Source organism: Homo sapiens, chromosome 9 (assembly GCF_000001405.40).
Source record: "Homo sapiens chromosome 9, GRCh38.p14 Primary Assembly".
Taxonomy (NCBI): domain Eukaryota; kingdom Metazoa; phylum Chordata; class Mammalia; order Primates; family Hominidae; genus Homo; species Homo sapiens.
This window is the reverse complement of record NC_000009.12, coordinates 25,802,400-25,814,056: the sequence shown is the minus strand read 5'-3', so window position 1 is coordinate 25,814,056 and position 11,657 is coordinate 25,802,400. Positions and strand designations below refer to the sequence as shown.

At 38.7% G+C, this 11,657-nt stretch overlaps 1 long non-coding RNA gene across 1 annotated transcript in view; it reads right to left on the bottom strand.

The window, feature by feature from the left end:
- Nucleotides 1–1,088: 1,088 nt before the first annotated feature.
- The window catches only part of LINC01241 (long intergenic non-protein coding RNA 1241), a 32,913-nt gene continuing 22,344 nt past the window's right edge, over nucleotides 1,089–11,657 (bottom strand). Inside the window, exon 6 of the long non-coding RNA NR_121604.1 lies at nucleotides 1,089–1,436. This is a non-coding gene — a long non-coding RNA (long intergenic non-protein coding RNA 1241). The remainder of the gene's footprint in view (nucleotides 1,437–11,657) is intronic.

Sequence of the window (11,657 nt, the reverse complement as noted above, 5' to 3'; positions counted from 1 at the left end):
TACCATCTATAATTATAGCTGTGCTCAATATAAAGGAGCAAGTAGAATTAGCATCTCCAGACTTTGTTCACTTCTTTTTAGTTATTCCTCTGAATACAGCTGCTATAATAAGCACTGATAGCATAGGGGGCTCTGGTTCAGTGCTGAAGAACTGAGCATCCAAGGTTGAACATAAAGAATATCCTATTTATTTCTTCTAACTTGCTACAGGGTGTTGGCACTCTAGTTGTCTGTGGATAAACTTAATATCTTGATTAGTTCTCCTGAGAATGCCTCTGGAAACTGTTATATGAAGTGGAAGGTGGAAGGCTGGCTAATACCTATGGTGGCTTCAAAATAGTCTGCCGAGGTCTGGTAGCTTGGAATTGTCAGACGTTTGTTACCTTGACAACCACAGACAGCACAAGCCTGGGTTTTGAGTGACTTTAGATTCCTTTGCAATTCCTTCTGGGGATGAATGATTTGTATGTCTAATCAATGAATGGCAAAGACATGTTATTTAATAAGATTAATAAAGCTCACATAAAGCATTCTGTACACTAAGTCCAATGGCATGGCTTCCTAAGAAATGTAGTTAATATTCCTTAGAATTGCAGTTGACATTTCTGGAATGTAGGCCCCAGGGAGAACCAAAGCCTCCTTTAATACTAGGTGAAATTCTAGTCAGGGGTTACAATGCTACTTTCAGTTGACTCTGCTATATAGTCTCAGAATATGTCCTCAGCCCTATGAGGAAGAACTTTTTCCCCCATTTTCCTTTTATTCTCTTAATTGCTGATGATCTGGATAACACTGGGATGACTTCTAGACCTAGAACTTCCTTGTAATAAATCAATCCTGACCCTGTGATTTACAAGAGCTTAGGAAACAATGAAAATAAGTGTGGGTCTTTTTTTTTTTTTTGGTATTTTTGTTCTGTTTAAAGAAATTCTGGAAAATATTTTTTCTTTCTATAATGTTTTTCACATTCTTCTCTCTTCCTGTCACAGTGTGGCCTCATCTTCTAACCTCGGGTTCATGTTTATTCCTTTCAATAGGACTGTAATGAACACAAATCTCAGCCTATAAACAGAGATCTACTCTTCATATGTATTTATCATAGAAATTTATTGCTTGGATGTTGTATTTATGATTTATTGCTGTGTAACACACTACCCCAAAACTTAGCAGTTTAATACAACTGGGGGTGATTATTTCACACAACTTTTGAGAGTAGGGAATCTGGGAGTGTCTTATTGGGTGGTCTGGTTCAGCGTCTCTTATGAAGTTACAGTCACACTATCAGTTGGAGCCACAGTCCATAAGATTTGACCAGGACTAGATGAGCCACTTCTAGGTTCACTCATGAGGTTGTTGGCAGAAGTCACTTCTTTGTTCCATGGCCCTTTCCATAGGACTGTTTTCTTAATATGGCAGCTGGTTTCCCCTAGAATGAGCTGTGGGAGTGACAGCAAGAAGGTTTTTCTTTACAATCTGACCTTAGAAATGACTATTACTTATGCTTTATTCTGTTCACACAGACCAATCCTGATACAATATAAGAGGGGACTACACAAGAGTGTAAATAGGAAAGATAGGTCATGGAGAGGACACATGTATTTTCCCTTCTCAGTTTGCCAAAGTGTGGAAACATAATTACAATGAATGTAAGGTTTTCCTCAACACTCATTCCTGGAGCTGTGTGTGAATCCTTATGTAGTACCAAGTCCAGGTTTGGTTGTTGTTTTCTTGTTTTGTTTCGTTTTGGAAGAGAGAGGATGTCTAAAAGGGCACGTATATCTGATTTTGGGCATTATTATATAGCCACCTTGAAAACTGATGACAAATTCTCATGGACATTGTCAGTACATCTCTCGCTTAATGTCCAGCAGGAATGCCATCTTTCATTCCCCCAAAGTATTAAGATACTCATAAGTTCCCCATATTTCAGATGGAGAGTGAGATGGACCCAGGTCTTCACTGTCCAATATGATAGCTACTAGCCTTACATGGCTATTGAGTAATAGAAATGCAGTAGTCAGAATTGAAATGTGCTGTTAAGTGTAAAATACACATCTATTTTAAAGGCTTTGCAGGAAAAAAGTAAAATATCTAATTAGTATTTCTGTATTGATTACATATTGAAACAGTGTTTTAGTTATGTTGGATTAAATAAAATGTAGTGTTAAGTTACTTTAATGTTAGCTGTTTTGTATTTATTTTTTAAAAAAATCTATTGGAAAAAATACTTAAATAGCTTGCATTGGTGGCTTACATTTCTATTAGACAGTGCTTCTTGAATGGAAAGTAGCAATATAGAGGAAAAGCCTCCCTATCCAATACAGGAGTGTGAAGTGCCCTTCCACAGGTGATATTTGGTGAAAGTGAATAATAAAGATTGACTTCAGGAAAAATCACAGGTAAATATCATAGAGTCTGAGAACAATGGTGTGCATAGCAGAAACTTTCAATAACTTCCCCATATTTCCTCTCATTCATTATTCAGTAAACACTGCCTGCTTCCTCCTGAAAACACTCAGACAGTTCCTCAAGATTATTCTAATAGCAAGAGTATCTCCAACCCAGCAGGACAGAAGATGAAGGGGCCTGGATATTATTGTCTCAAAGAATAGCCTTTAACTGAAATAAGAGAGAACCCAAACAAATGGAAAAACATTTCATGCTCATGGACAGAAATAATCAATATCATGAAAATGGCCATACAACCCAAAGTAATTTATAGATTCAATGCTATTCCCATCAAGCTGCCATTGACTTTCTTCACAGAATTGGAAAAAAACTACTTTAAGTTTTATATGGAACAAAAAAAAAGAGCCCCTATAGCCAAGACAATCCTAAGAAAAAAAAGACAAAGCAGGAGGCATCACGGTATCTGACTTCAAACTATACTACAAGGCTACAGTAACCTAAACAGCATGGTACTGGTACCAAAACAGATATATAGACCAATGAAACAGAACAGAGGCCTCAGAAATAACACCATCTGATCTACAACCATCTGATCTTTGACAAACCTGACAAAAACAAGCAATGGGGAAAGCATACCCTATTTAATAAATGGTGTTGGGAAAACTGGCTACGAATATGCAGAAAACTGAAACTGGGCCCCTTCCTTACACCTTATACAAAAATCAACTCAAGGACCGGGTGCGTTGGCTCACACCTATAATCCCAGCACTTTGGGAGGCCAAGGCAGGCAGATCATGAGGTCAAGAGATCGAGACCATCCTGGCTAACACAGTGAAACCCCATCTCTACTAAAAATACAAAGAATTAGCCGGGCATGGTGGCAGGTGCCTGTAGTCCCAGCTACTTGGGAGGCTGAAGCAGGAGAATGGCGGGAACCCGGGAAGAAGAGCTTGCAGTGAGCAGAGATCATGCCACTGCACTCCATCCTGGGTGACAGAGGGAGACTCCGTCTTAAAAAAAAAAAAAAAATCAACTCAAGATGGATTAAGGATTTAAGCGTAAGACCTAAGACAAAAAACCCTAGAAGAAAACCTAGGCAATATCATTCAGGACATAGGCATGGGCAAAGACTTCATTAATAAAACGCTAAAAGCAATTTCAACAAAATCCAAAATTGTCAAATGGATCTAATTAAACTAAAGAGCTTCTGCACAGCAAAAGAAACTACCATTAGAGTGAACTGGCAACCTACAGAATGGGAGAAAATTTTTGCAATCTATCCATCTGACAAAGGGCTAATATCCAGAATCTACAAGGAACTTAAACAGATTTACAAGAAAAAACCAAACAACCCCATCAAAAAGTGGGAGAAGGATATGAACAGACACTTTTCAAAAAAAAAAAAAGACATTTATGCGGCCAACAAACATATGAAAGAAAAGCTCATCATCACTGGTTGTTAGAGAAATACAAATCAAAACCACAATGAGATACTATCTCATGCCAGTTAAAATGGTGATTATTAAAAAGTCAGGAAACAACATGCTAGAGAGGATGTGGAGAAATAGGAACATTTTTACACCGTTGGTGGGAGTTTAAATTAGTTCAACCATTGTGGAAGACAGTGTGGTGATTCCTCAAGGATGTAGAACTAGAAATACCATTTCACCCAGCAATCCCATTACTGGATATATACCCAAAGGGTTATAAATCATCCTATTATAAAGACACATCCACACATATGTTTATCACAGCACTATTCACAATAGCAAAGACTTGGAACCAACCCAAATGTCCATCAATGTTAGACTGGGTAAAGAAAATGTGACACATATACACCATGGAATATTATGCAGCCATAAAAAAGAATGAGTTCATGTCCTTTGCAGGGACATAGATGATGCTGGAAACCATCATTCTCAGCAAACTAACACAGGAATGGAAAACCAAACACTGCATGTTCTCACTTATAAGTGGAAATTGAACAATGAGAACATATGGGCACAAGGAGGGGAATATCACACACTGGGGCTTGTTGAGGGGTGGGGGGCAAGGGGAGGGATAGCATTAGGAGAAATATCTAATGTAGATGATGGATTGATGGGTGCAGCAAACCACCATGGCCCATGTAACAAATCTTCATGTTCTGTACATGTATCCCAGAACTTAAAGTATAATAAAAATGAAAAAAAAAAAAAAAGGATAGCCTTTAACCAAAGATAAATAGAAATCGATAAATAAATGTCCTGGTTTCTTTGCCCCTCATGTAGGATTATATGTGTGTTTTGCACTTTTGTCCAGAGGTGTGCAAGATATGGAGTCCCTGCCAGAAATAGAGTCTGAGTTGCCTGCAGCAGTGACCAGCCGACAAACATATCTTGATTAGGTTTTCTTGTCTTCCTACTCCACTACTGGTAATTTCTAGGACCACTTTCCAGATAAACTTCTTTTACATGATTCTACTTACAGGACCTCCTTCTAGAGAAATCTAATTTAGGGCAGAATGCATGAGTGCATGTATCTGCAAGCAGGAGTGTGGACACACAAAGACAGAGAAGTAGCCCTATGTATTTCCAGTTAGTATAAGTATTCATGGGTTAACTTAACATAATGATTTGACAACCAAAATTGTTTTCTCTGTATATCTGCTTTCTTGTCCTCTGGTCCTGCATTTGCGTATCACCATTCTATCCTGGTAATATCTTACCTCCTTCCCTCTAAACAGCATCCTCTGGATGGCTGTGTTCACAAAGCCTTGCAGTAGCCAAATTGGGCCAGGTTCTAGAAATACAGGCCATAAGTGACAGCCTGAAAGTTTTCCTTTTGACATTTTTTGAAAGGAAAATCAGTTTTCTTCCTGAGAAAAGCATGAGAATGACACTTTACTTTCCAGCCTCCTCCTATTGTGACAGGTTGATAAGCACTGTATTTTCATCCTCCTATTTTCTTCATCATAAATAGGTCTCAATTTATAACCCACGTTTGCAGTTTCATTGAGAAGCAGGGCAGAAGGCACACTGCCCTATTTTAGCTCAGCAGGGCAAGAGCATTAAGAACAATGAAAGTTCAGAGTTACCTATCACAAATATATCTGAATGATAGCATCAACAAAATCAGAATGAGTTTTTCCAGGAAACAGTGACCTTGTGACATAAAAGCCACGCTACTGAGAGGTGAAGCCGGTTGGGCTTCTGGGTTGGGTGGGGACTTGGAGAACTTTTCTGTCTAGCTAAAGGATTGTAAATGCACCAATCAATGCTCTGTGTCTAGCTAAAGGTTTGTAAATGCACCAATCAGCACTCTGTGTCTAGCTAATCGGGTAGGGGACTTGGAGAACTTTTGTGTATAGCTAAAGGATTGTAAATGCATCAATCAGTGCTCTGTGTCTAGCTAAAGGTTTGTAAACGCACCAATCAGCACTCTGTAAAAACGGACCAATCAGCCCTCTGTAAAACGGACCAATCAGTACTCTGTAAAATGGACCAATCAGCAGGATGCGTGTGGGGCCAAATAAGGGAATAAAAACAGGCCACGGAGCCAGCAGGGGCAACTTGCTGGGGTCCCCTTCCACGATGTGGAAGCTTTGTTCTTTTGCTCTTCACAATAAATCTTGCTGCCCACTCTTCAGGTCAACACTACCTTTATGAGCTGCAACACTCACCATGAAGGTCTGCAGCTGCACTCTTGAAGCCAGAAAGACCACGAACCCACACGGAGGAACAAACAACTCCAGACGTGCCACCTTTAAGAGCTGTAACACTCACTGTGAAGGTCTGCAGCTTCACTCCTGAAGTCAGCGAGACCACGAACCCAGCAAGAGGAATGAGCAACTCTGGATGGGCCACCTTTAAGAGCTGTGTAACACTCACTGCAAGGGTATGCAGCTTCACTCCTGAAGTCAGCGAGGCCACAAACATTTGAAGGAACCAACTCCGCACACACCATCTTTAAGAACTGTAACACTCACTGCAAGGGTCTGCAGCTTCATTCGTGAGGTCAGTGAGACCAAGAACCCACCGGAAGGAACCAATTCTGGACACACTACCACAGTGTCTAGGTTACATTAAAACAAGCACAGTAATAATAACAATAGCAAACAATAGCACCACTTCTCGTAAGTAAAGTGCTTTCTGGTTTGTAAAACACTTTCATAGATATCTTCTCCTTTGATTCTTTCAACAGCACTATAAGAGAAGCAACAGTTGTGGATACGCTGGCAAATTATTTGGCATTGCAATCCTACCCATCTGTACTCTTGCACTTGCTAATTTCTATAATCTAGTTTCATGGCTTTAAGGAAACATCCAGGCCTAGAGCAATCAATAAAACTGTGTACAAAAATCGTTTGATGCATGAACACTCAATCTTTGCAACATTAATTTCAAACGGGCACTTGGCCAAGTCACATGTATTATCTTAGCTCACTCCACCCCAATGTCTATTTTCTTTATCTTTCTCCCATCCACAAATCATCCATACATGATCCACTTGCTTAATTTCTCCATCAATACATTATTCCTTCCTACTAGCCTGGAGCTTGATTTTAACAGCACTCTTGGTAATGGGCCCATTTGGTTTGGTCCCAGGATTGCCTCCTGGGTATTGTCAATAGTTGGCATCCTTTGTGGATGTAGCATAGATTTTTAGTGTGAGCCGAGAACTGATATGCAAATTTCTTTTGTCACTGTGTTGTTTTACCCACTTCGTTGGAAACAGTATTGATAAAGATGCATTGGGAAAGCAGCACTGTCAGAAGATTAAGTTTTATGACAGGAAGTGCTAAATAAATGGTCTGTTAAAAGATTGAGTAAGTAAAAAAATAGAGACATTGATATGTCAAGCAAGGTAGAAGTTAGTATATCATAAAATGATGTCATGCTACCAAGCAGGGTGAGTTCATGAAACTTACCAGAGAATCCAGGCATTGGTCAGCATTTCTAGTGGAAGTGTTTGGTTTATGTTTATGGCAAAGAATTATCCTAGAATGTAAGCTTCATAAGAGCGTGGCTTTGTCCTTCTATCCCACTATGTCACCAGATCCTAATACAGTGTCTGGTACAAAGAGAGCATGCACAGTTTTTAAATAAATGGATACCACAATGATTAAATAAATTTGTCATCTAGTCTATAATAATCTCACTCCTATTCTGAAGCCACTGGTATCATAGGGTGCCCTAGAAATAGGCATATTTTAAGGAAGACATTTGAACAGTCCCTTTAAATTTTCTCAAGCTTCCTTTAATGAAGCAAAGAAAAATTCAGTTGCATTTTGTATTTCTCAGTTAGGAATGGTCTGGCCACGGGGCACAGTGATATTTTTAAATGCAGGGAAAATAATCCACCAGTTTAATCTGCACAATGTTTAACACAAATATCTTCTCCATTAACAATATGGTGCGAGAGAGAGTCGGGGGGTCATTAGAGGACCTGAAAACACCCTGCAATGTGTTTGTACAAGATTAGCCCTTCATCGAAAAGATGTATTCATTCTCGATATGGCCTTATGTCAGGGTTGCTGACCTTAATGTGTGGAACTTTTCCAGTTCATCAAGGCTAACGTGCCCAGAGCTATTTTCTGGGTTTGAAATAAAGAGCAAGCTGTGGTAAGCTGGAAACCTTTGTTACTATTTGTATTCCTCTCTCTTCTCTCCATTTCCTGCTCTCTCTTTTTTAATCCACCTGCTTTTTCCTTTGCTTAGTAAACAGAGTTGCCCATCTGACAAATTGTGAAAATACCCCTCAACCCGTCACTCACACATTTGGCCTTGGTTTTAATACCAAAGAGTTTCAAATACCAAAACATAGGCAGCCATTCTTCTTGGCTGCTTATAAGCTCAATTCAGCTATTTCCTCAACAATCTGAAGGAACCTTTCCTGTCCTGTCCTATCTCTTTCTGGTCTTGAATTTATTTTCCTATCAATCTAAATCTTTGCCTTTTGTGATAAAAATCTGTGTTTAAATTGAACATTTTTACAGATTTTTGGTTTAGATTTGACACTGTATATTTTATAAGTGAGTTTGAAGAGAAAGGCAAGGAAATCCTGTACATCCAAGGTATCTAGTTAGTATGGGATATGTTATGCTACAAAGGCAAGTTACACAAACATCTGAAAACATAAAGGTTTAGCTCATGCTACATGCCCATTGCTGGTTGGCAGGGAGTCCTGCCCACCATAGTCACTCAGAGTTCCAGGCCAAGAAATCAGCTACCACCTCAAATATTGCTGGCCATAGTACAAGGGAAAGCTAGAACTCTAGGGAAAGCTAGGACTCTAGGGAAAGGCTTCTCACATTTTAACTTGCATGAGGTCACCTGGGGATCTTATGAAAATGTTGATTCTGATTCAGTACATCAGGGCAGACCCTGAAAAATCTACATTTCTAAGAAGAGTTCAATTGATGGTGCTGCTGCTGCACTGCCTAGTGTATGTTCAGTAGCTCAGGCCTAACTAAACTAGCAATTAAGTATTCTGCCCCAGAAGCACAATTTCATTAGACACACTGCTCCTCTCAACAACAAGACAGCTGGGAAGTACAATCCAATCAGATACCCAGAAGACAGAACTGAAAATATTTGGTGAACATCCAGAAACATTAACATGGCTATTTATATAGCACAGAAGCAAAACAAATACTTCTTAAATCATTTTTAAGCTAAACTGATCAATGTGTTAAAATGTTAATAAAAACAAATTGGGCAGAGATTCTCAATCCCAGGCTATATATCACAATCAATAGTGGGGATGTTTTTAATCACAGACACCTGACACTTTAGAGTGGCTATATGGTAGGGTTTGAATGTATTTTTCTTTTTTCTTTTTTTTTTTTTTTAACTACTTAGGCAGTTCTTTAGCCGGGATTTAAAAAGTACTGACGTAGGAATTCCTAAGCATTTTATTGAAGGTGTAAAAGTACAATTTAAAGAATGCACTTGTAGGAGTGAAAGAAAATTCTCTTCTACCCCCTGAAAGTTAGATTTCTGGAATAAACTTGACAGTAGACAGATTAAGAGGTAAAAAGGCAAACAAATTCTTTATGTCCACATGCATGGGCATCCCATAAAATGTGAGACTCAAAGAAAGACTCGATGATTAAGGATTTTATACCTTTATGCCCTCAAATGACTGAAGTTTTATATCCTAGAGAAAGAATAGGGTCTGGGGGCTTTTCAGGGGGAGATGGTGACAAGCCATGGGAGGGTCAGGGGAGAAACTGCACTGGGAACAAGGCTGTCTTACTATGCAGATAAAGTTTCTCAGAAGCAACCCTCAGAGGAATTGATGGTAGCTGTGGTTAAAGTCTCTCAATGGAGGTGTCAGACTTGTAGTCTCTTTTCCTGATTTAACCTTCCCTGATTGATAATTGTATGTCTTCTGGAGGAACTTACCTTAGTCGGTTAAGGGTAGATCAGAGAAAGCCCTTTCCCTGCCTTTGCTGCTCTTCAGCTGCTCTGTTTGAAGTCCAAAGTGACAAATTTCGAGGTATTCTTTTCTGAACATCAATATATTTGATTATCAATGCCCTCTACCACAAATTTATGAAATATATAAGTAGTTGTATTTTAATTGAAATTTAGTATAAATTTACACCTGTGACAGAAAATATTTTTAATTTGTTTCCATTTATAAAAATTTATTTTTTTCTCTTTTTAAAATTACTGTAAAAGCCCAAGGGAAGGCCTTCCATTTAAGAAGTCAACTATATTACATTATTCACGTTGCTCAAATGTAAAAGTGCTTAACTACATAACTACTAAACGTTGATTTATTCAAGATTGTGAGATAATTGAAAAAAAGGTAGTCAAGGTAAATTGGAAGGCAGAAAAAAAAATGAAGAAAAGAAAGAAGCATAGGAGTGAAGAGGGAAGACTTCCCCTTTGCAGTCAAGATTTGCTGAAAATAAACTGACAAAAGTCACATTAACAGGAGAAAAAGGCATACAAATTTATTTTAATATGCGTGGGTAAAAAAAAAAAATCACCGTAGAATGATTATCCAAAACCAAATGAAGTGCATATACTTTTAAAACCTTCTTCACAGGGGAAGGGAGATTAGGAAATCTAGAGTAAACAATGTTAGGGGAAATGAATAGGCCCAATGCTCAGACAATGGTTCCTAACCAATGGTTAGTTTCTTTGGAAACTGAATGGGTCTAGGGGAATAGACAGTGGCTCCTGATGAAATAAATTTGTCCATGTGTAGTTACATTCCCCACTCCCTACAATATGAGTTTACTTAATGAAAACTCAGGGAAGGGACAGAAGGTAATTGTTTTCTTTTTGGGTGTGCCCAGTCCCTCTGCAGATAGGGGAAAAGCCTCTCCTAGCACCTGCTGATCTCCAAGGGCCTTCATTTCAAAATACTTAAGCATACTAGGGTGCCATATTTTGGGATGACATTCTGCGGTCTCCTTCAGAAAGAAAAGAGGGAAGAAGCTGACATACTGCCCAGAACCAGAGCAGTAGAGGGTAGCCCTTGAGCACAGCCACGGGAATGAGCTAATGCAAATTCAATTCCAGATTGAAACTGTAATAACTATGAATATTGCTAAAGTGACTTCTCCTTGTGCAAGTTACTTAGCTTCTCTAAAACTCAGGTTTCTCACTTTTAAAATGGAGAACATTGCTATCTCTCTAGATCCTAGGTCAGCTAAATGAAAAAAGTTATGCAAATCTCTTAGCACAGAGGCTAACATGTTATCCATCAAAAAAGGTAGTTACCATTATTTTATTTGTTGACTTGATAGAAGGGAGCTGCCTACAACATGACTCTGATAACACTGATAGTAAAACATGCCAATCCTGTTTCCTTGGGAGCCATCCAGTACATATAGAGAATTTATATCCTCCTTAATAACCTTTGTCCCTGAACTGTGGTAATGTTTGGGGTTAAGAGTTGTTATTAACATGCCCATAATTAATGAAATGTAAACTAGATTTGTTAGACTGCCCCATTGAATTAATTTGGATAAATGCAACATAAGGATAAATAAAAAGGGCATAAAAGAGGAAAAGGATGTCACAATTAGGTCTACTTCATCTCTGTAACACAATGGTTAGGAAAATAGACTCTTGAATCTCACAGAGACCTGTCACTTCCAGCTAGGTCATTAGGGTCAAGTTACTTACCCTTTCTAAGTAAGGATTTCTTCTTCTGTAAAGAAGGTGAGAAAATATAACTACCAAAGGAGTGTTATATTGTTGTTATTCCAAATATGGACTGAGGAAAAAAGAGAGACAGAGTTTCTA